Raw genomic sequence first — 23,450 nt, forward strand, 5'->3', positions numbered from 1 at the left:
AGGCCAATATGGCTTCCTGCACCTGGTGACGCTTGGCGAAACTGAGGTCTCATGGAGAAGCCCCGGAGTATTGAGGTGAGAAGGCGAGGACTTAGCGTGACTGGGAAAGGGAACTCCGAGAGCCTCGCTCCGTGGGCCCTTCTTTAGGGCTTTTAGCGACGCCTGGAGGGTGGAGGGTGGGAGGATGGATAAACTGAGGTAGTTAAACTGAGCCAGGGGCAGAGGCAATTGACGTTACTTTTTGCCCCTCTCCTGCTGGGGCCAACGTTCGGCGAGGAGTTCAGGGAGGAACAGCCGTCCCTGGCCTGGGGGAAAGGGAACTAGGTTTAGGATCTGAGAGCTCCTGAATCTTCCTTATCCTGCTTGTCTCGTGGCTGTGTTGTTTAGGGCTTGTGAGGCCTGTTACATGAGGTGGGAAGTGAAGGGAGATTAAAGTTGGGTGAACATCACTCCTTGTCTGTAACGTTCACGTGCATTATCTTCCAGTACACTCACAGCAATCATGTATTATTCTTTCGTCTTTGTCGTTCAAGCCACTGAGGCTTAGAGGTGGTGCGACACCCCAGGAAGTTACCCCGGCTGGAAAGTGAAGGAGATTGGCACTAAGTCTGTCCGCCTCTGAAACTTTGCCTGTTATGCTTTTCACACTGTACTGCAACCTGGAACCCACTCATCCTTTTTTTTTTTTCTTTCAGACGGAGTCTTGCTCTGTCACCTAGGCTGGAGTGCAGTGGCGCGATCTCGGCTCACTGCAACCTCCGTCTCCCGGGTTCAAGCAATTCTGTCTCCATCTCCCATGTTCCTGGGATTACAGGCATGTGTCACCACACCCGGCTAATTTTTGTATTTTTAGTAGAGACGAGGTTTTGCCATGTTGGTCGGATTGGTCTCGAACTCCTGACCTCAGGTGATCTGTCTGCTTCACCTCGGCCTCCCAAAGTGCTGGGATTACAGGCATGAGCCACTGCACCCCGCCTCATCCTTTAATCATTTGGTTTCTGGGCACCTTATATTTAAGAGACGGGGTGTTCCTATGTTGCCCTGGCTGGAATGCAGTGGTTACTCACAGGCGTGATGACAACGCACTGCAGCCTCTAACTCTTGGGCTCAAGCAATCCTTACACCTCAGCCTCCTAAGTAGCTGGGACTATAGGTGGTCTCTGTCACCCTGCCTGACAAGGGTACCTATATTTGAATTGTTTCCTTGCTGGGTGCGGTGGCTCACGCCTGTAATCCCAGCACTTTGGGAGGCCGAGGCGGGCAGATCACGAGGTCAGGAGATCGAGACCATCCTGGCTAACATGGTGAAACCCCATCTCTACTAAAAATACAAAAAAATTAGCCGGGCGTGGTGGCAGGCACCTGTAGTCCCAGCTACTCGGGAGGCTGAGGCGGGAGAATGGCGTGAACGTGGGAGGCGGAGCTTGCAGTGAGCCGAGATCGGGCCACTGCACCACTGCACTCCAGCCTGGACGACAGAGCGAGACTGTGTCTCAAAAAAAAAAAAAAATTGCTTCCTTTCTAGCATATTTGCATGTGTAGTTGCAAATATAAGGTGGAATAGCTCAAACTTTCTGCAAGGGTAAACGAGAATAATCATGTGGAGAATAAGAATAGCAAGTCACACTTTTAGAGCTGTTACTGACTGCTGGAAATAGAACTAGGTTTTACATATCTTATCTCAATCTTCGTAAGAATTCTCTAAAGAAAGCTTATTACCTCTCTTGTAATGATGACAGCAGCAAGATAAAATACGCACAAAATCACACAGTTAATAAATGTTAGAGCCAGGATTCAAACTCAGGCAAATCAGAGCCTATGCTTTCAACCAGTAAAAATTGGCAACCTTTATTGAGCACTTACTATATGCAAGTCACTATTCTGAGAGCTTTGCCTGTATCGTCTCTTACTTCTCCCCCAAATCCTTTTTTTTTTTTTTTTTTTTTTTTTGAAACAGGGTTGCTCTCTGTCACCCAGGCTGGAGTGCAGTGGTGCAGTCATAGCTAACTGCAGCCTTGACCTCCCTGGCTCAAGAGTTCCTCCCACCTCAGCCTCCCTAACCAAAACACCCAGCTAATTTTTTCCATTTTTTATAGAGACAGGGTTTCCCTATGTTGCCCAGTCTGGTCTTGAACTCCTAGGCTCAAGCAATCCTCCTGTCTCGGCCTCCCAAAGTGCTGGGATTACAGGCATGAGCCACCATGGCCAGCCCCCAAACCCTATGAAATAGGTGGTACTATCCTCATTGTACAGATGTGGAAACTGAAGCACTGCAAAATTGACTTGCTGCAGGTCATACAGCGAGTAAGCACTAGAGATATTTGAGCTCTGGACCAGAGGCCAAACTTTTCTCCTTTCTTCACACCTTTTTTTTCCTTTGAGACAGTGTCTTCCCTCTGTCATCCAGGCTGGAGTGCAATGGTGTGATCATGATTCAGTGCAGCCTTGACCTCCCAGGCTCAAGCTGTCTTCCCACCTCAGCCTTCTGAGTAGCTAGAGCCACAGGTGCATGCCACCACCACCCAGCTTTTTTTTTTTGAGAAGGAGTCTCACTCTGTTGCCCAGGCTGGAGGGCAGTGGTGCAATCTCGGCTCACTGCAACCTCCAACTCCTGGGTTCAAGTGATTCTCCTGCCTCAGCCTCCCGAGTAGCTGGGATTTCAGGCACCCACCATCATGCCCAGCTATTTTTTGTATTTTTACTAGAGATGGGATTTCACCATGTTGGCCAGGATGGTCTTGAACTCCTGGTCTTAAGTGATCCGCCCGCCTCGGTCACCCAAAGTGCTGGGATTATAGGTGTGAGCCACCGCACCCAGCTTTTTTTTCTTTTTCTTTGGAGACAGGATGTCATTCTCTTGCCCAGGCTGGATTGCAGTGGCATGGTTATGGCTCACTACAGCCTTGACCTCCCAGGCTCAAGCAGTCCTTCCACCTCAGCTCCAAGAAGCTGGGACTACAGGCGCATGCCACCACACCTGGCTAATTTTTTTTTCTTTTGTAGAGATGGGGTGTGGCTGTGTTGCCAAGGCTGGTCTCAAACTCCTGGGTTCAAGCAATCCACCTGCCTCAGCCTCCCAAAGTGCTGGGATTACAGATGTGAACCACCGTACCCAGGCTCTTCACACGTTTTCTGTTACATGCTGGGTAGATTCATATACATTATCTCATTTGCATCTCACGAGTCAAATATTTTTATTTTATAGATGAGAAAGTTGAAGCCCACAGAAGTTAAATGACTTGCCCAAGGCCCTATAGCTAGTTAGGCTCAGAGCTGAATCTAGCGCTGTAGTACACACCAAGATGCCACAGTTATCTGTGTGTCATCTGCCTCTCCCATCCTCTTTGGAGCAGTCTAGGTCCCAAATTAACTTTTCTGTGACTTAAATTGTTTCTGAGTTGAGATCATTTTGATGTATATTGAACGGGGAAGAATTTTTGTTTTTCTTTTTGAGACAGCATCTCACTCCATTACCAGGCTGGAGTGCAGTGGCGCGATCTTAGCTCGCTGCAACCTCCACCTCCCGGGTTCAAGCAATTCTCTGCCTCAGCTTCCCAAGTACCTGGGATTACAGGCACCCGCCACCACACCCAGCCAATTTTTGTATTTTTAGTAGAGACGGGGTTTCACCATCTTGGCCAGGTTGGTCTTGAACTCCTGACTTCGTGATCCACCCACCTTGGCCTCGGAAAGTGCTGGGATTACAGGTGTGGGCCACTGTGCCTGGCTAAGAATTAATTTCTAATATATCTTCTACCCCAGAAAGTCTTTGTGAAGTACCTTAGGATATTTCACTTTTTTTTTTTTTTTGAGATGGAGTCTTGCTCTGTCACGCAGACTGGAGTGCAGTGGCACGATCTTGGCCCACTACAACCTTTGCCTCCTGGGTTCAAGCAATTCTCTGCCCCAGCCTCCCAAGTAGCTGGACTACAGGTGCCCGCCACCACGCCTGGCTAATTTTTTCTTGTATTTTTTTGTAGAGACAGGGTTTCACCCTCTTGGCCAGGCTGGTCTCGAACTCCTGACCTCAGGTGATCTGCCAGCCTCGGCCTCCCAAAGTGCTAGGATTACAGGCATGAGCCACCGCACCTGGCCCACATTGTTATACAGTATTCTATTTGAACCATGTTAAAATATCATCATTTGTAAATCCACAGAGGAGCCTGGTGAATTCCTAACACATATTTTCTGTCTTGTTAAGCTGTTGAATTGCATCATGGTGGAGAAATGTGTAAATAGAAGTAATGATCTTGGTGTTTGTAAAAGGGGTATTTGAAAGGTTCCCGAAAGTGTGAGGGGGCTGATAGCAGATCTGCAGCTTCTCCCCCCGTGCACTAAAGCCAATCATAATTCTTTCTACCTGGTTTGTGTCATCCTCCATTAGGAGACCCCATCTTCAGAACCAATGGAGGAAGAGGAAGATGACGACTTGGAGCTGTTTGGTGGCTATGATAGTTTCCGGAGTTATAACAGCAGTGTGGGCAGTGAGAGCAGCTCCTATCTGGAGGAGTCAAGTGAAGCAGAAAATGAGGATCGGGAAGCAGGGGAACTGCCGACCTCCCCGCTGCATTTGCTCAGCCCTGGGACTCCTCGCTCCTTGGATGGCAGTGGTTCTGAGCCAGGTGCCTTCAGAGTGTCCCCTGAGGATGGAGAGGAGATAGAAGATTATAGAGGAAGAGGGGGGTGGATATAGGCTATATGGGCAGAGCCATCCAGATGTAAAAGGCTATTAACTCTGATTTCTAAGGGATCAGATGTGTAAGGACCTGTAAGGGAGACAGAAGCACCCCAAGTAGCCACTGTGTTAACTTCCTTTGCTGAAGTCTAATTTCTTTTTTTTTTTTTTTTTTTTTTTGAGACTTGAGTGTCGCCCTGTTGCTCAGGATGGAGTACAGTGGCATGATCTCGGCTCACTGCAACTTCCACCTCCTGAGTTCAAGTGATTCTCATGCCTCAGCCTTCCAAGTAGCTGGGACTACAGGCACCCACCACCACATCCAGCTAACTTTTGTATTTTTTTGTTTGTTTGTTTGTTTGAGACGGAGTCTCGCTCTGTTGCCTAGGCTGGAGTGCAGTGGCGCGATCTCGGCTCACTGCAAGCTCTGCCTCCCGGGTTCACACCATTCTCCTGCCTCAGCCTCCTGAGTAGCTGGGACTACAGGCGCCCGCCATGACGCCCGGCTAATTTTTTGTATTTTTAGGAGAGACAGGGTTTCACCACGTTAGCCAGGATGGTCTCGATCTCCTGACCTCGTGATCCACCCGCCTCGGCCTCCCAAAGTGCTGGGATTACAGGCGTGTGCCACCGCGCCAGCCTAACTTTTGTATTTTTAGTAGAGGCGGGGTTTCACCATGTCGGCCAGGCTGGTCTCAAACTCCTGAACTCAGGTGATCCACCCACCTCAGCTTCCCAAAGTGCTGGGATTACAGGAGTGAGCCACTGTGCCCGGCCCTAGTCTAATTTCAAATTGTGACTTCACTCATTCTTTCATATAACTAATGTGTATTCAGCACAGATTAGATGCCACTGAGTAGCATGGTGCTGCTTTTTTGTATAAGTATACCATGGATTTCCAACGTGGATGTTGAGAAGATAGGAAACCTAAAGTGTTTTGGTTACTTTCTGAGAAGGGACAAATAACTTGTGGTTTGGAAGTCAGGGTGGGAGTGGGAAGGTAATACACGATAAAGTGACCCTGGGTAGGAGGACTGGGTTGGGGGCGGGCAGATGAGAATCCCTATGGATCATCTGGAAGCCAGTTGACTTTGGAAATGTGATGCTTGGACAGCTGCTGAACCCCTGTGTCAGGGCCTCCCATGTGTGGGCTGCCTGTGAAGAGAGGCAGGCTGGATAGTCTGTGAGGACACTGCCATCCTTTAGATCCCAAACTTTTTTTGTTTTATTTTGAGGCAGGGTCTCACTCTGTCACCCTGGCTGCAGTGCAGTGGTGTGAAAATGGCTCACTGCAGCCTCGACCTCCTGGGCTCAGGCAATCCTTCCACCTCAGCCTCCTGAGTAGCTGAGACTACAGGTGCACGCCACCATGCCTGGCTAATTTTTGTATTTTTTTTTTGTAGAGACAGGGGTTTTGCCCTGTTACCCAGGCTGGTCTTGAACTCCCAAGCTCAAGTGATCCCCCACCTCAGCCTCCCAAAGTGCTAGGATTACAGGCATGAGCCACCGCACCCAGCCCCAAACTCGTTAGAAGAGTAATCTAATACTCTTTGCAGTTGAATCTTATTTCCTTTTTTTTTTTTTTTTTGAGACGGAGTCTTGCTCTGTCACCCAGGCTGGAATGCAGTGACATGATCTTGGCTCACTGCAAGTTCCGCCTCCCAGGTTCAAGCCATTCTCCTGCCTCAGCCTCCCCAGCAGCTGGGACTACAGGCGCCTGCCACCACACCCGGCTAATTTTTTTTGTATTTTAGTAGAGACGGGGTTTCACCATGTTAGCCAGGATGGTCTCGATCTCCTGACCTTGTGATCTGCCCTCCTCGGCCTCCAAAAATGCTGGGATTACAGGCGTGAGCCACCGCACCCGGCCTTTTTTTTTTTTTTTTTTTTTTTTTGAAACAGAGTCTCGCTGTGTCACCCAGGCCGGAACGCAGTGGCACGATCTTGGCTCACTGCAAGCTCCGCCTCCCGGGTTCACGCCATTCTCCTGCCTCAGCCTCCCAAGTAGCTGGGACTACAGGCGCCCTCCGCCATGCCCGGCTAATTTTTTGTATTTTTTAGTAGAGACGGGGTTTCACCGTGTTAGCCAGGATGGTCTCAATCTCCTGACTACGTGATCCGCCCGCCTCAGCCTCCCAAAGTGCTGGGATTGCAGGCGTGAGCCACCGCTCCCGGCCTTACTTCCTTTCTATTTATATTGTCTTCTTTTCATCCCTTGCCTTTTATCTTTCTCCCTTCTATCCTCTTCCAGCCCTTCTCTTAGAATCTTAGGATTTAGAACTAGAAGGAACCATTAGAGACCACTTAGACCAGGGGTTCTGCACATTAGAATCATCTAGGGGAGCTTTTAACAAACTACAGGTACCAGTATCCCGTCACAGACCAATTCATTAGAATTTTAGGTTCAGGCTTTTTTTTTTTTTTTTTTGAGACAGCGTTTCACTCTTGTTGCCCAGGCTGGAGTGCAGTGGTGCCATCTCAGCTCACTGCAACCTCCGCCTCCCAGGTTGAAGGGATTCTCCTGCCCCAGCCTCCGGAGTAGCTGGGATTATAGACGCCCACCACCGCGCCCGGCCATCTCAGGCATTTTTAAAAGCTCCCCAGGTGGGTCTAATAGTGAAGTCACGGGCCAGGCATGGTGGCTCACGCCTGTAATCCCAGCACTTTGGGAGGCCGAGGCGGGAGGATCACAAGGTCAGGAGTTCAAGACCAGCCTGCTCAACATGGCGAAACCCCGTCTCTACTAAAGATATAAAAAATTAGCCAGGCGTGGTGGCACATGCCTGTAGTCCCAGCTACTCAAGAGGCTGAGGCAGGAGAATCCCTTGAACCCGGGAGTCGAAGGTTGCAATGAGCCAAGATGGCGCCACTGCACTCCATCCTGGGCAACAAGAGCAAAACTCCATCTCAAAAAAAAAAAAAAGTGAAGTCACGATTAAAACACTGATCTAGCTGGGCGCATTGGCTCACGCCTGTAATCCCAACACTTTGGGAGGCCGACACGGCGGATCACAAGGTCAGGAGATTGAGACCATCCTGGCTAACATGGTGAAACCCCGTCTCTACTAAAAACACAAAAAAATTAGCTGGGTGTGGTGGCAGTGCCTGTAGTCCCAGCTACTCGGGAGGCTGATGCAGGAGAATGGCGTGAACCCGGGAGGCAGAGCTTGCAGTGAGCCAAGATTGCGCCAGTGTACTACTCCAGGCTGGGTGACAGAGCAAGGCTCCGTCTCAAAAATAAATAAATAAAACACTGATCTAGTTCAGTCCCTTTACTATATAGATGAGAAAATAGAGCCACAGAGGTTAAGTGACTTTGGCACTTTTTCTTCCTATAAATTTTTTCGCTTTTTTTTGAGACAGTGTCTTACTTTGTTGCCCAGGCTAGAGGTACAGTGGTGCAGTCATGGCTCACTGCAGCCTCAGCCTCCTGGGCTCAGGCAGTTTCCCCCCGCCAAATCACACCTGGCCTTTTTTTTTTTTTTTTGGGCAACAAGGTCTTGCTATGTTGCCCAGGATGGTCTCAAATTCTTGCCCTCAAGCAATCCTCCCTCCTTGGCCTCCCAAACTGCCGGGATTACAGACAGGAGCTACCATGCCTAGTTTCTTCTCACTTTCCTCTGACAAACTTTTCAACACTCACCTGTTCCCCCAGTCGTCCTCATGGATTTCCATTAGCCCCTCTGTTGACATCTGTAGCCAAGGGAGGCCAAGCAGCAGCACTTCATTCAGGTAGATTCAGGATATACACACCAGTACCTCCCATTCCTCCTCTTATTCCATTAGCCTTTGTGGGGGCAGGGGCTCACCTGGTTAATGCAGTGCCCCAGGTTTTGAAGGGCCCATCACTTTGTTTGCTTTGAGGTGGTCATATCGGGTGAGTCATGTGCTAAGTTCTCTTCCCAGCTGTCTGTGAGATGTGTGGTATCGTGGGTACAAGGGAAGCCTTCTTCTCCAAGACCAAGAGGTTCTGCAGCGTCTCCTGCTCCAGGAGCTACTCCTCCAACTCCAAGAAAGCCAGTATCTTGGCTAGGTTACAGGTGAGAGGCAATCACTTGGATCCTTCCCGGTGCCTTTGGTGCTGAGACAGGAACCACCAAGTGACTGAAGGCCAGGGCCAGGAAAGTTTGAAAAGGTCCTTGCTTGTGGCCAGCTGGTATTTATTATGTTCTCAAACTTCAGAGGACAGTAGAATCCATTTGTGGAGCTTTTTAAATTATAGGTTCCTGAAGCTACGCTCCATTACCTACCATCATCCCCCAGAGTCTGGTGTATTCAGTACATTTTAAACAAGAACTATGGGGGAGTCTGACACCCTTGGTCTTCACCCCACACTTTTATAAATCCTTTCAAAGGAAGTTGGGAAACAGGCCCAAGGTTCACCAGCCACGGTGGCTTCAGGAAGACCATGCCTCCTCGGACTCCATGTCACAGGCAGCTACCTAGAAAGTCTTGCCAATTTTCTAAATTACTGATATTTATAGAATCTTTAGAGATGGAAAGATTCTTGGATGTGGTGTTGAACCCACACATTTATTGATAAGTATACTGAGGTCCAAGGAGGTAGAATGACATACCTAGTGTGGCTCTGTAGGAGGAGAATGGCGGAATTGAGGCTGGAACCTCATCTCAGGGGCCTCATCTTACCTTGTTTCCCAGTAGCTGGGACCAGCATCTGCAACACTGCTTCCCAAATTTGCCTGCATGTTGGGATCACCTGGAAAGTTTAAAAATTATTGATGCTGGTCGGGCACGGTGGCTCACGCCTGTAATCCCAGCACTTTGGGAGACCGAGGCGGGCGGATCACGAGGTCAGGAGATCGAGACCATCCCAGCCAACATGATGAAACCCCGTCTCTACTAAAAATACAAAAATTAGCCAGGCGTGGTGTTGTACGCCTGTAGTCCCAGTTACTCGGGAGGCTGAGGCAGGAGAATCGCTTGAACTTGGGAGGTGGAGGTTGCAGTGAGCCGAGATCGTGCCACTGCACTCCAGCCTGGGGGGAAAATATTATGTAAAATATATTGATGCTTGGGTCCTACTCCGAAAGGTTCTGATTTAACTGGGATGGTGTGTAGCCTGGACAGAGATTGGAAGAGCTCCCAGGTGATCCTAATGTGCAGCGAAGTTTGAGCACCACCGATGTTTATTAGAAATTGCTGTGTCCCAGATCCTTCTGCTTACTGCTTCATACACTGTCGCCTTTGTGAGACAATTACCATTGTTTCCCCATTTTGTAGATTTTACTTAAGGCACCGAAAGATCCCTCTCTTCCGAGAGCTAAGAATAATATTGGTAATATTAATAGCTATGGTTTGGGAGTACTTGCTAAGGGCTTGACATTCTCAGTCCAATTAACGATCTTAAAAAATTTGATTTTTAAAAAAATTCCTTTTTATAAAGGCTCAGAAATTTTAGTAACTTACTTAAAGGTATACAACTAAAAACTGTAGAACTGGGATTTGCCCTGTAGGTTTGTTTGGGACTTAAACCCAGATTTCTGCTTCACTGATCTCTTTAGTAAATTCCTGGCCTTCCTGTTCAGTACTTAAGTTACAAAATACAGACCAGATCAGTGGCCATTCCCTTTGGAAAGGGAGGACCCCCTTTGAGTACCTAATGAAAGCTGTGGGTCCTCTCCCAAACATTCGCCTATGTGGACCCTCTCCCGAACATTCGCCTATGTGGACCCTCTCCCGAACATTCGCCTATGTGGACCCTCTCCCGAACATTCGCCTATGTGGACCCTCTCCCAAACATTCGCGTATGTACAGAAGGTTGCCTCCCAGTTCATGAGCGTTTCTGGGCCCCTGTGAGGCCCATTCTTTGCTTTGGATCTATCAGTAGCGACACTGGAGGAAGGAGATGACTGAGACTTGAATCTGGGAGGACAGAAAGGCTTAAAAGATAGAACATGGGTCTCTCCCTGCTCTGCAGCACTGCCTAGCACCCCCTAGCACCCCCGACGCTTCCCCACAACCACCCCCTGAGCTCAGGATTGTTATTGTCATCACTGTTTCACACATGAAGAAACTGAAGCCCAAAAGAGGTTAAGTCACTGGCCCAAGCCCAGGACTTCAACTTGGCGGCCCAAATCCAGACTCATGATCCCAGCCGCCAGGCTACACATAGCCTCTGTCCTCCTCTCCAGGGAAAACCACCGACCAAAAAAGCCAAAGTCCTGCACAAGGCTGCCTGGTCTGCCAAAATTGGAGCCTTCCTCCACTCTCAAGGGACAGGACAGCTGGCAGATGGGACACCAACAGGACAAGACGGTAAGATAGCAGAGGGCCCTGCTTAGGAAGCTGCCGTGGCTGGGGAGGAGACTGGGTTTGGGGTGGCCTTTCCTAGGAATGAAGACTGGGCAAACCGGCCAGGTAGAAAGTGCCCTAAGTCAGGGTCACTGCGGATTGCATCTTCCTCACCTGTTGGGTATTGTGGAAATTACCCAGAAAAATGCCTTCAAACACCCTTAAATTATCAGGACTCCTACCCATGATAATTCAAAAGCCAAGAATTGGCTGTTTTTGTTTCTCTTTGCTTTTATCCTTTTGGTTTCTGTTTCCCTGGGGCAACGAAGGCCCAGATATGGTTTGAAGGCAGGTTTGGAGAGGGGTGGTGGGATAAGGAAAGGAGCCTCTCTCTGAGTGTGTAGCAATTGCTAAGCAAGTTAAATGTATGCATAAAGCAACTCTGCTATCATTGTTCTGAGTTTCTAACTGAAATTGAGCTCAGCAGGCCGGAGCTCAGTTGGAGGGGCCCTGGTGTGTGCGCACCCCCTCCCCCACATTTAGATTGGGTGTGGCCAATCAGGTTCAGGGCGGAGGGAGGAATTTAAGCCCAGGGATATTTCAGTTTTCCCCTTTGGGGGAAGAAGGGCGAGAAATTTCCCTTTGAATGTTCCTCTACTCCTGAGAGTCTTGCCACCTTTCAATTCAGTCCTCAACAGTGGTCCCTCATGGCCACTGGTGGATCAGGTATGGGAGTGAAGGAGGGTGTCGTGGGCAGCGCTGTGAGAGGGGCTGCTGGGGGTGGGGGACCTACCTCTGCAGGTCCCACAGGGCCCTTGGGGTCCAGGCTCCTGGAGTGGCTGCTGCGCAGGCTCCTAGTCTGACTCGTCCTCTCTGCTCTGCAGCTCTGGTCTTGGGCTTCGACTGGGGGAAGTTCCTGAAGGATCACAGTTACAAGGCTGCTCCCGTCAGCTGTTTCAAGCACGTGAGTGCCCTGGAGCTGAGGGAGGGAGGCCGGGGAGCCGGGCCTGGAGCTGCTCCTCCACCTGCTTCACCAGGGCGGCTTCAGGCTGGACAGTGACAGTGGGGAGGTCTGGGCAGGAGACGGATGGCGTTACCACTCGCTCCATTTCATGTTTATGTCAAAAAAATCCTCCTACAAACACTTCTATCACCTGCTTGGCTTCACTCCCGGTCTGAAGCCCTTCAGTTTATTTACATGATGGAACTTGGTGCTAGCTGATGTCGAAGGGTCTTTGCAGTCTGAAACCCTTCTCTCCTTTCTCCCCCATTTGCAGCATTTTCCCATGGAAAGCAGGGTGCTTCTGTAGCTGGCCTGGGCCCCGTGGGCCCCGAGAGGCAGATGTGGATGCTCCTGGAGCCACTTCTGTAAAAGGCTCCTCGATGCGGATCATGTAAAAGCCAGAACGAAGGGCAAGGCCCTTAGGGGCGGGGCTTGAGCGCAAGAACCGAATATCCAGCAGCTGTGACGTGTGGAGCCTGCAGGCCGGGAGAGCAGAGCCCACAACAGCACTCTTGTTTTGTCTTCACACCACGTCCCTAAGCTCCGGGAAATCCAGGAGGAGGCCTCTTTAGTCTTGAGGAAGTAGGGAGTCTTTTACCCAGAGTAAGCCACTTCCTCTCCTCCTTTCAGAACTGCCACTGAACTCTGGGGAGTGCCCTGAACAATGACAGCTGCTTCTTGACTCAGCTAACTCACTCCTCTCGTCTCTGAATGGCTAATGAAGGTGCACCTCCTTCCTGCTGGAGGGGGAGCCTCTTTTTTGCCCTGAATTCTCTAATAGTTTCAGCATTTTCATTTCCAGGGAGTTGCATCATCCTTGTGTCTAACACATATAATCCAATTTGCTTTGTAAAAAGCCTGCCCCTGCGTGCCTGGGCTAGCGCAACTGTGTCCGGGTTCTGTGATGAACTAAACTCAAGTGACCAGGGAGATGGAATGGGATACCTCAACTGGCTGAAGCCAGGGCTGAGAATAAAAAAGGTGAATTTGGCCAGGCGCAGTGGCTTACCCCTATAATCCCAGCACTTTGGGAGGCCGAGGCGGGTGGATCACCTGAGGTGAGGAGTTCGAGACCAGCCTGGCCAACATGGTGAAACCCCATCTCTACTAAAAATACAAAAATTAGCTGGAAGTGGTGGCAGGCACCTGTAATCCCAGCTACTTGGGAGGCCGAGACAGGAGAATCCCTTGAACCTGAGAGGCGGAGGTTGTAATGAGCTGAGATTGCGCCACTGCACTCCAGCCTGGGTGACGGAGCAAGACTCTAAAAAAAGTGATTCTCCCAAAGGAGAATCAAAAGTACCATTGGCAGGAAAGTGAGGATTAGGTACTGGGAAGGCAACTGAAACAGTCCAGTGCTGTCCTGGGGCACTTTATTTTATTTTATTTATTTTTTCGATATGGGAGTTTCACTCTTGTTGCCCAGAGCTGGAGTGCAATGGCACTATCTCAGCTCACAGCAGCCTCCCCCTCCCAGGTTCAAGCGATTCTCCTGCCTCAGCCTCCGGAGTAGCTGGGATTACAGGCATGTGCCACCACCACGCCCGGCTAATTTTGTATTTTTAGTAGAGACATGGATTCTCCATGTTGGTCAGGCTGGTCTCGAACTCCCAGCCTCAGGTGATCCGCCCGTCTCGGCCTCCCAAAGTGCTGGGATTACAGGCGTGAGCCACCATGCCTGGCCCCCTGGAGCATTTCAGTAGGAGGGGAGGTAGAGAGTAAACTTGCAGGTGGATGGCTGTGTGTAAACAAGGGGGTCATAATGCCCACAGCCCAGGTTTGTATGATGATTGAAGGAAAGTATATTTGTGCTAATATCAGCGCCCTGCCATTGCTCGGGCTGGCACAGGGACGAAGGGATCGAGGCTCACCAAGGCATCATGTGCCCAAAATGATACAGTAAGAAACCAGTCCTATAAAGATTTTAGGACTCGGTTCTGTCTGACTCTGGGTCTCTAGCCATCACCCTGCATCCCACCACCTCCACCTCTACTCCCGGCTTAGCTCTTCAAGGACAGGAGACCTCATCTCTTTATCTCTAGTAGCTGGTTCTGCACACAGTGGGTGATGTGAAAAGTTGAGGTGCAAACGAGGACTTGACTGAGGCCGTGAGGCAGTCTGTCTCCCCTGCTAGCACAGTTAGCTCACTCTCTCGGTACACTCTCATCGCCACACAGGTCCCACTCTATGACCAGTGGGAGGATGTGATGAAAGGGATGAAGGTGGAGGTGCTCAACAGTGATGCTGTGCTCCCCAGCCGGGTGTACTGGATCGCCTCTGTCATCCAGACAGCAGGTGAGTGTTTGGCCAGGGCAGGGCCAGGGATGTGTCTGCAGAGTGACATCTCTAGATGGGTGAACAGTGTTGTAGGCAGGAGTTGGCTTCATAAAACAAAAATCCCACCCACTGGAATTTTTGCCCCACTTCTAAGGATTCTTTTACCGGAGAAGGGAACACAGAGCTTGGCAGGCTTGGAAACCCCAAATTTTTTTGTTTGTTTTTGTTATTTTGTTTTTTTTAGATGGTGTCTTGCTCTGTCACCCAGGCTGGAGTACGGTGGCACGATCTCGGCTCACTGCAACCTCCACCTCCTGGGTTCAAGCGATTCTCCTGCCTCAGCCTCCCGAATAGCTGGGACTACAGGCCACCTGGCCACCACACACGGCTAATGTTTGTATTTTTAGTAGAGACGGGGTTTCACTATCTTGGCCAGGCTGGTCTCAAACTCCTGACCTCAGGTGATCCTCTGCATCCCAAAGTGCTGGGATTATAGGCGTGAGCCACCGTGCCTGGCTGGAAACCCCAATTTTTAAAGTTTGTTCCAGGGCCAGGTTTCGTGGCTCACACCTCTAATCCCAGCACTTTGGAGGCAGAGGCAGGAGGATTGTTTGAGCTCAGGAGTTCGAGACCAGACGGGGCAATATAGTGAGATACTGTCTCTATAAAAAATGAAAAAATTTAAAAAGTAAAATTCATTCCAAGGATGATCAGGTTATAGAGAATTAACTCTCAGCACCATTCCATAATGCTTTCCGAACTAGGAGCATGAATTTGTTTGGCTAGGACTGTTGTGGACAACAGGAATCCACTTGCCTGGAAGTATAGGTGCCAGAAGTCCAGCTTAGGCTAGAGAAAAGAGAAGGCTTAAGAACATACCTTCCCCAAGCTAGGCCCGGTGGCTCACGCCTGTAATCCCAGCACTTTGGGAGGCCGAGGAGGGCAGATCACGAGGTCGGGAGATCGAGACCATCCTGGCTAACACGGTGAAACCCCGTCTCTATTTAAAATACAAAAAAAAATCAGCCGGGCGTGGTGGCAGGCGCCTGTAGTTCCAGCTACTCTGGAGGTGGAGCTTGCAGTGAGCTGAGATGGCGCCACTGCACTCCAGCCTGGGCGACAGAGCAAGACTTCGTCTCAGAAAAAAAAAAAAAAAACAGAACATACCTTCCCCAGCTCACCCTCCCTCACAGGTGCCCTTTCCTTTCCTTTCAGGGTATCGGGTGCTGCTTCGGTATGAAGGCTTTGAAAATGACGCCAGCCATGACTTCTGGTGCAACCTGGGAACAGTGGATGTCCACCCCATTGGCTGGTGTGCCATCAACAGCAAGATCCTAGTGCCCCCACGGAGTGAGTTGATGAGAACATTTCCTCTCTTGTTCCCGTAGGGCCCCTGGTAGAGGGAGAGTCCTCTGCTTGTGTTAGGTAGAATGGGAGTCCTCTGTCTTGTTAGAACAGAATCCACTTGCCCCCTGGCTTCCTGCCCTCCCCATCCCAGAGGCCTGGGGGCAGATCCACGTGTGGAATCTGATGTTCTCAGATGAAGTCATTGCTGGCCTGAAGAGGCAGCTATTTTCAGTCCCCACTGCTGAGGGGTCCCCACTCTGGGTCGGCGCTAGCGCCCCTGTCAGTGGAGGTTTGTCAGTCTGTGTAACCAGGATTCTGCTGGTGCCTCCACAGCCATCCATGCCAAGTTCACCGACTGGAAGGGCTACCTCATGAAACGGCTGGTGGGCTCCAGGACGCTTCCCGTGGATTTCCACATCAAGGTCGGCAGTGAGCCCTTAACTGATGTGCCTCCTTCCGCTCTTCCATTTTTCTGCATCCTGCATGCCACTCACTGGAGCATGTTACCTAAGACCCCTTGCCTGATGATCTTCAGCAGCTCCACATTTTGCAAGGCTAGAGACAAATGCTGCTGCTACGTGGTTGCCATCTGCCTTTCTAGCCTGGCGTCGGCCACTGCCCCACCCAGACTCTGCTCCTACTGCTCCAGTCATGCTGCTTTGTCTGCCTTTTGCTCTTCCGGAACCTTACCTTTGCTCATAGAATTTTTCAGAAGTGTTCACTCAATAGATTTTATTAACATACTTTTTTGTTTTTTGGGAGACGGAGTCTCGCTCTGTCCCCCAGGCTGGAGTGCAGTGGCGCGATCTCGGCTCCCTGCAAGCTCTGACTCCTGGGTTCACGCCATTCTCCTGCCTCAGCCTCCCAAGTAGCTGGGACTACAGGCGCCCACCACGCCCAGCTCATTTTTTTGTATTTTTAGTGAGATGGAGTTTCACCGTGGTAGCCAGGATGGTCTCAATCTCCTGACCTCGTGATCCATCTGCCTCGGCCTCCCAAAGTGCTGGGATTACAGGCATGAGCCACCGCGCCCAGCCTTTTTTTTCTTTTTGAGATAGAGTCTCGCTCTGTTGCCCAGGCTGGAGTGCAGTGGCATAATCTTGGCTCATTGCAACCTCCGCTTCCTGGGTTCAAGCAATTCTTCTGCCTCAGCCTCCCGAGTAGTTGGGATTACAGGTGCGCACACACCACCATACTTGGCTAATTTTTGTATTTTTAGTAGAGATGGGGTTTCACCATATTGGCCAGGCTGGTCTCGAACTCCTGACCTCAAGTGATCCACCTGCCTCGGCCTCCCAAAGTGCTGGGATTATAGGCATGAGCCACCATGCCCAGCCTTACATACTTGTTTACAAGGCACTGTGGGAATACAAAGAATACAGACCCTGCCATCCAGAAATCTCTAGTCTGGCAGAGGAAACAAAAGCCATGCACACAAGTAATTGTAATATAGCCTCGGTTCTGAGCCAGGGATGTGCCTGGCACAGCACAGGGTAAAGCCCAGTCTGGGGCGCCTCTGGGCTGTCTGATTCTGTCTGGTGTAGGACTCCTGTGTGGCACAGAATCATCTTTGTGGCATTTAATTTTAAGAAATGATTTAGTAAAAATTAAAAAGTCACATATATACATGGTAAAAGTGACTCATACCTGTCTCAGTGTCTCAGCACTTTGGGAGGCCAAGGCAAGAGGATCACTTGAGGCCAGGAGTCTGAAACCAGCTTGGGCAACACTGTGAGACTTCGTCTCTTGAAAAAAAAAAAAAACATTAGCTAGGCACGGCACAGTGGCTTACTCCTGTAATCCCAGCACTTTGGGAGGCCGAGGTCAGAAGATCACCTGAGGGCAGGAGTTCCAGACTAGCCTGGCCAACATGATGAAACCCTGTCTTTACTAGAAATACAAAAATTAGCTGGGTGTGGTGGCATGCGCCTGTAATCCCAGCTAACTCAGGAGGCTGAGGTGAGAGAATCGCTTGAAACCGGGAGGCCGAAGTTGCAGTGAGCTGAGATCGTGCCACTGCACTTCAGTCTGGGCCACAGAGCGAGGAGACTCCATTTCAAAAAAAAAAACAAAAACTAACAAAAATGGCGTTGGATTGTGGGCTGCACTGTGTTGGCTGTAGATGAAGAGAACATGGCAGGGAAGGCAGCCCAGAGGGGCCCCGAGCCAGGCCTTACCCTGTGTTTTCTCTCACTCTCCTGAGTGAGCTGCTGGGATACCGGATGTGGGACAGGCAATTGGTGTCAGGACGTATCCCAAGCCCTTGAGCTGGGCCAGAGGGTCTGTCTGGTTTAGGACCCCTGTGTCAGCTTTGCCTGTTGGCTGCTTTGTGACCTCTGAGACGCTTTCCTTCCTGGTGTGTTTGGAAATAGCACTGCTTAGTCTAGTCTAGGCTGGTTCTTCCTGACCCAGCAGTGCCCTGGGGCTGGAAAAGCCCTACACCCTACCTGTTCCCTGCCCCAGGCAGGACAGCACTGAAGTCACAGTGAACAAAAAGAACCTCCTCCTCTGTACCCCAGCACCATGGCTCTCTGTAGAGCAGCTCGAGGGCATCTTGGTCACCATCCCTCATTAGGTCAGTTGCTACCAAGGCACTGTGAAAGCACTGCAGAGCTGCAGCCCATCAGGGTCAGAAAGGGACACAGGAAGACTCAGTTCTCTGGACATGAGTCTTGTATGTGCCACAGGCAGAGGGCTGGGAGGGGGCGGGGAGGGCAGGATGCCTGGGGATCAGAGTGCAGAGCCCATGAGGAGCACAGGCTGCACACCAGCTTCCAGGCCCAGCTCTGGCACAAATGAGTCTGTGTAATTCTGGGCAGGCGTGACCTCTGGGTCACTTTTCCTTAGTCTAAAGTGCGTTTTGTGATTTGCATCAACTCATTGGCGTTTTGGTGGCAAGAAGTGGCATGCCCACTGCAAGCCGTGTGCCTTCCCTCTGTGTCCTCCTAGGGAGAGCTGTTGCCTCCCTCTGTGTCCTCCTAGGGAGTCAGGGCCAAGGTGAGCCTGGCAGCGCAGGCAGTCTCATCTGCCACCTCCCGACTGACTGAGTGTGGGGGATAACACCACACCTTCCCTGTCCTCCACTCACCAGAGCAGGAGGGTGGGTGGGAAGAGCCCTGAGCCATAGCAGGCCTGTGTTCTGACGTCGTTTCAGATGGTGGAGAGCATGAAGTACCCCTTTAGGCAGGGCATGCGGCTGGAAGTGGTGGACAAGTCCCAGGTGTCACGCACTCGCATGGCTGTGGTGGACACAGTAATCGGGGGTCGCCTACGGCTCCTCTACGAGGATGGTGACAGTGACGACGACTTCTGGTGCCACATGTGGAGCCCCCTGATCCACCCAGTGGGTTGGTCACGACGTGTGGGCCACGGCATCAAGATGTCAGGTTAGCAGAGCCCCAGGCCAGAGGGACTGCATGCTGTGCTTCCCCAGGGACGGAGTGGGAGCACCTTCCTACTCGTCACAGCAGGTCAGCAGGTGGAGGTTGGCATGGCCCCCCTGCAGTGATGATACTGAGCTCCAGAGAGCTTGAGTAACTTGACAAAAGTCACTCCACTCAACTTGTGAGTGGTAAAATCAAGATTTGAACCCAGATGCTACCAGCCCCGATCCTCTCCCCTGTCAATGCGGGAGCAGTCTGGGTTTCGAGGGCTGAAGAGTCCCTACAGAGAGCTCTTGATGTTTTCTGGACTCAACCTTTCTGTCTGCTACTCTGGGGTGGGGGGTCCTGAGATACAGAGATACAGCTGAGAACACGTGCAGAGCAGCCCCACATTCCCAGGGGAGGCGTGTGGAGATGGCCCAGGAGCCGCCTCCAACTCCCTTCTCTCCCTCATTCCCTATCCATCTCCTCCAAAGAGAGGCGAAGTGACATGGCCCATCACCCCACCTTCCGGAAGATCTACTGTGATGCCGTTCCTTACCTCTTCAAGAAGGTGAGGTTCAGCTCTTGGGCGCTTTTCCCCTCAGCCATGGGTCCATTCCGGGCCTGAGGGACCTGGCTCTTCCCCTGGGACCATCCCTTTCCCTCCTGAGGCCTGCTTCCCTCACCCTTCCTCCTGGCCTGCCCAGGGAGTCCCCAGCTGTCCCATTCCTTTAAGGTACGAGCAGTCTACACAGAAGGCGGTTGGTTTGAGGAAGGGATGAAGCTGGAGGCCATTGACCCCCTGAATCTGGGCAACATCTGCGTGGCAACTGTCTGTAAGGTGAGCCAGGGGCCGGCTCTCCAGCCTCCAGATTTCTGAGCGGGGGGACCCATGTGGCCCAGAGCTCTAACCCCACTCGCCACCGTCAGGGGGTCTGTGTCCCAGCCTCTCATCACTGGCTGCACCCAGAGTCCCTGACTTTTGTGAGTGGGGCCTGGCCTGCCCCTTGCTCAGAATCTGCTTTCGTGTCAGGGTCCAAGGCTCCCTGGACGAGTGCTTATTCAACACCTGAGCCTGGTCCTGTGTCAGAGTAGGCCCCTCCCTGTCACCTCACTGGGGCCTTCTTGCTGTGTGCCATCTCCTTTGAGCGCTGGCCTAGGCAAGAGCCACAGCTGGGGTCACCTTGCTCCAAACCTCATCGCCTCCTCCTGAGCAGCACCCCCACCCCTCCTTGGCCCTCCTGGAGGAGGCTGCTGACTCGTCCTCGCCGCGGATCCGCTCCATGCCGGGCGCGTGTGCTCACCCAAGAACACGGTCCAACAGGATGGACGCGGCCCCTGCTGGCGTGGTGTTTGCTGTCTAGTGGGGAAGAGAAAGAATCCCACGCGTATGCATCACAGAAGTACTGTGTGCCCCAGAGAGGCTCAGGTGTCCTCCAGGAGGGCCATGCCCTAGATCCGTTTGGATCCATTTGCCTCGTGTCCCTATTGGGGTGCGGTACCAACCCAGGATGGGGTGCAGTTCATGATATGATCTGTCTGCCTGCTCCCCCCACCCCCCAGGTTCTCCTGGATGGATACCTGATGATCTGTGTGGACGGGGGGCCCTCCACAGATGGCTTGGACTGGTTCTGCTACCATGCCTCTTCCCACGCCATCTTCCCGGCCACCTTCTGTCAGAAGAATGACATTGAGCTCACACCGCCAAAAGGTAAGACTAGAGAGGCCACCACCTGCTGTCCTTGCCATCAGAAGGGGCAGGGTGTCCAGGCGCGGTGGCTCCCGCCTGTAATCCTAGCACTTTGGGAGGCCGAGGCAGGTGGATGACCTGAGGTCAGGAGTTTGAGACCAGCCTGGCCAACATGACAAAACCTCGTCTCTACTAAAAATACAAAAATTAGCCAGGCATGGTGACAGGTGCCTATAATCCCAGCCACTCGGGAGTCTGAGGCAGGAGAATTGCTTGAACCCAGGAGGTGGAGGTTACAGTGAGCCGAGATCATGCCATTGCACTCCAGCCTGGGCGACAGAGCAAGACTCTGTCTTCAAAACAAAACAGAAGGGGCAGGGTGTGGCCACAAGCCCAGATTCCTGGTCAAGTCAGGCCCCAGAAGTGTAGCATTTCAGGGTGTATGGGAAAGGTGACAGAGCCCACCACCAGCCCTTAACTGCTGGGCTGACCCTACCCCATGGCCAGTGTATGGTTGATGAACAGAGCTCCCACTTATCCCATTGGTCAGTGAACAACCTATACAACAGGACTGTGGTGCTAGAGCAGGTACTACCCTGAGGGGATGAGAAGAAGGCTGCTGGGGAGACTCCATGCTGGGTCCTGACCAAGCTGCAGAGCTTCTTCAGCCATGTGTCCTTTCCTCCTGCCCACTTCCTGCTTCCCCCTCTCCCTCTGCATCTGAGCTTTCTGCTCCTCCAGGTTATGAGGCACAGACTTTCAACTGGGAGAACTACTTGGAGAAGACCAAGTCGAAAGCCGCTCCATCGAGACTCTTTAACATGGTGAGGAGACTGAAGTGGAGCAAGGGGCCTGCGGTGGCCTCAGGACAGGCCCTGCCTGCTGCTGTCAGTGGTGGCAGTTCCTACTCTTTCTCTCGAATCTCTACTGCTGACATCAGCCACTTTCAGGGGGAAGTCCCCAGCTATGGCCTGGGCACTCCAGTCCCTCTTCCATGGAGGGCGGTACTGGGAGAGGTGCAGTGGGTTATTGTCTAGAGGAAGCTGCCCCAGCAGCCATTCCAGTCCCCGCCCCTCCCTGCCAGTTCTTCAAGTGCCTCCGGGCCGGGGCAAGCCTGCTGGGGTAGGGAGCTGACTGGCTTGGCCACTGCCTCCTTTTTCTGCCCCAGGATTGCCCAAACCATGGCTTCAAGGTGGGCATGAAGCTGGAGGCCGTGGACCTGATGGAGCCCCGGCTCATCTGTGTGGCCACGGTGAAACGAGTGGTGCATCGGCTCCTCAGCATCCACTTTGACGGCTGGGACAGCGAGTACGACCAGTGGGTGGACTGCGAGTCCCCAGACATCTACCCCGTCGGCTGGTGTGAGCTCACCGGCTACCAGCTCCAGCCTCCTGTGGCCGCAGGTGTGGGCTCTCGTGGCCCTAAGAGGCTCTGACTTTCTTTCCTCTTCTTTTTTCCTTCTTCCCCCGCCCCTGTGCCCATCTCCGTTCTTTGGCATGAGGTGGAGATGTCTCATGGACCACTTTAAGTAGAGAGTGAGCCCCGTCACCCAGCCCCTGCTCCTGACTTCTCTGTCTCCCTTTCCCTCTGGCCTGCAGAGCTCCTTCCTTCATCTTGCCCACTCTGTCATATGTTCGTGCCCTTGTGCACCCAGGTAAACTACCCAGGTCCCTCTGAGCAGCCCTGGTAACAAGGGTGGGAAGAAGGGACAGCTGTTCTCCGGCCCCTCCTCCAGCCCCGCCCTCTCCTCATTGCCCAGGTTTGGCTTCCTGTCTTGGGGTGTCTCGTGTGGGAGGGTGGATGGGGTCTCGGGATGCGCCTGTGCCCTGTGTCCTCCCAGGGACCCTCTTCTCATCTCTTTCACCCTTGTCTTTCAACAACAGAACCGGCCACACCGCTGAAGGCCAAAGAGGCCACAAAGAAGAAAAAGAAACAGTTTGGGAAGAAAAGTAAGTGCTGCACCGGTGCAGCCAGGCTGGTGTGGGCCTGGGAGCAGTGGGCCTGCGTCCCTGGGAGCAGGCGGGGGTCAGCCCCCAGGCACTGGTTCCCAGGTGCTGTCCTACTGACGTAGCTCTCTTCGTGTTCCTGTCCTGTCTCTTTCCCCTTGCCCTTTGGCCTACGGGCCTTTCACCCTGTCTCTGGGGACCCAGACCATAAATAGGGAGTGTTCAGTCTCTGGCCATGGTCAGGGTGCTGAGGAAAAGAGGTAAGAGATTGAGGTTGGGGGATCCCATCCCTGATGCCCCATGTTCAGAAAAAAACAGCCTGGCCTGGGCAAGCCGCAGCTGCTAGGTTCTAAAGGAAAAGCCACAGGAAGAAATAGAAGCTGTCTCTCCAAGGCTGTCATTCTTACCTCGAGACCTCTTTGAGGGTGGGAGAGGGTGGGAGCAAAGGCAGGCAGCTGAGTGGCAGGACTCCACCTGGCTCTCAGGCCGTGGGTGTCGTTTCCCTTGGTGGGGCCTCACTCTACAGATTCTGAGCCCAGCTTGGGTTCCACTTGAGGGGCAGAGCGGGAGCGGGCAAAGCCATCCTTCAGAGCCGCAGGCCTATGACAGCGAGGTGGGCTCCACAGTGTGGTACCATGTGGGGAAGAGGATGTTCTGAAACAGAAACAAGGTCCCTTGGGCAGGGTTAAGATTGAGTGAGGCGGCCAGGCGCGGTGGCTCACACCTGTAATCCCATCACTTTGGGAGGCCGAGGTGGGCGGATCATGAGGTCAGAAGTTCCAAGACCAGCCTGACCAACATGGCGAAACCCCGTCTCTACTAAAAATACAAAAATTAGCCAGGTGTGGTGGCAGGCGCCTGTAATCCCAGCTACTTGGGAGGCTGAGGCAGGAGA

General features: G+C 52.1%; 1 protein-coding gene and 1 long non-coding RNA gene across 6 annotated transcripts in view, besides 3 other annotated features; one reads left to right on the forward strand and one right to left on the reverse strand.

Moving 5' to 3' along the window:
- Window positions 1–23,450, forward strand: part of L3MBTL2 (L3MBTL histone methyl-lysine binding protein 2) — a 25,960-nt gene continuing 2,510 nt past the window's right edge. The window contains exons 1-16 of one of the 5 annotated variants that reach the window (XM_047441536.1): window positions 1–75; window positions 4,385–4,622; window positions 8,582–8,715; window positions 10,828–10,951; window positions 11,812–11,891; window positions 14,108–14,225; window positions 15,423–15,557; window positions 15,888–15,976; window positions 18,709–18,940; window positions 19,414–19,490; window positions 19,656–19,760; window positions 20,483–20,630; window positions 21,351–21,433; window positions 21,778–22,012; window positions 22,208–22,263; window positions 22,493–22,532. In XM_047441536.1, coding sequence (XP_047297492.1) covers window positions 52–75; window positions 4,385–4,622; window positions 8,582–8,715; window positions 10,828–10,951; window positions 11,812–11,891; window positions 14,108–14,225; window positions 15,423–15,557; window positions 15,888–15,976; window positions 18,709–18,940; window positions 19,414–19,490; window positions 19,656–19,760; window positions 20,483–20,630; window positions 21,351–21,433; window positions 21,778–22,012; window positions 22,208–22,263; window positions 22,493–22,510 — 1,896 coding nt within the window. In that variant the 5' untranslated portion in view covers window positions 1–51 and the 3' untranslated portion in view covers window positions 22,511–22,532. The other 4 variants (NM_031488.5, XM_017028976.2, XM_047441537.1 and 1 more) reach the window with 4 other exon arrangements.
- Window positions 845–1,345: an enhancer, noted in NCBI's record as "H3K4me1 hESC enhancer chr22:41602160-41602660 (GRCh37/hg19 assembly coordinates)". NCBI's record gives its function as "activates a minimal SCP1, AML or CMV promoter by ChIP-STARR-seq in primed H9 embryonic stem cells {active_cell/tissue: H9 hESC(primed)}" and the evidence as "EXISTENCE:reporter gene assay evidence [ECO:0000049][PMID:30033119]".
- On the reverse strand, window positions 3,811–12,316 carry L3MBTL2-AS1 (L3MBTL2 antisense RNA 1). The gene is made up of 3 exons (NR_148200.1): window positions 11,721–12,316; window positions 8,319–9,392; window positions 3,811–4,640 (listed from the first exon to the last, which is right to left on the reverse strand). It is a non-coding gene; the product is annotated as a L3MBTL2 antisense RNA 1 (long non-coding RNA).
- Window positions 12,490–13,187: an enhancer, noted in NCBI's record as "H3K27ac-H3K4me1 hESC enhancer chr22:41613805-41614502 (GRCh37/hg19 assembly coordinates)". NCBI's record gives its function as "activates a minimal SCP1, AML or CMV promoter by ChIP-STARR-seq in naive H9 embryonic stem cells {active_cell/tissue: H9 hESC(naive)}" and the evidence as "EXISTENCE:reporter gene assay evidence [ECO:0000049][PMID:30033119]".
- Window positions 13,188–13,884: an enhancer, noted in NCBI's record as "H3K27ac hESC enhancer chr22:41614503-41615199 (GRCh37/hg19 assembly coordinates)". NCBI's record gives its function as "activates a minimal SCP1, AML or CMV promoter by ChIP-STARR-seq in primed H9 embryonic stem cells {active_cell/tissue: H9 hESC(primed)}" and the evidence as "EXISTENCE:reporter gene assay evidence [ECO:0000049][PMID:30033119]".

Source organism: Homo sapiens, chromosome 22 (assembly GCF_000001405.40).
Source record: "Homo sapiens chromosome 22, GRCh38.p14 Primary Assembly".
In the NCBI taxonomy this organism is placed as follows: domain Eukaryota; kingdom Metazoa; phylum Chordata; class Mammalia; order Primates; family Hominidae; genus Homo; species Homo sapiens.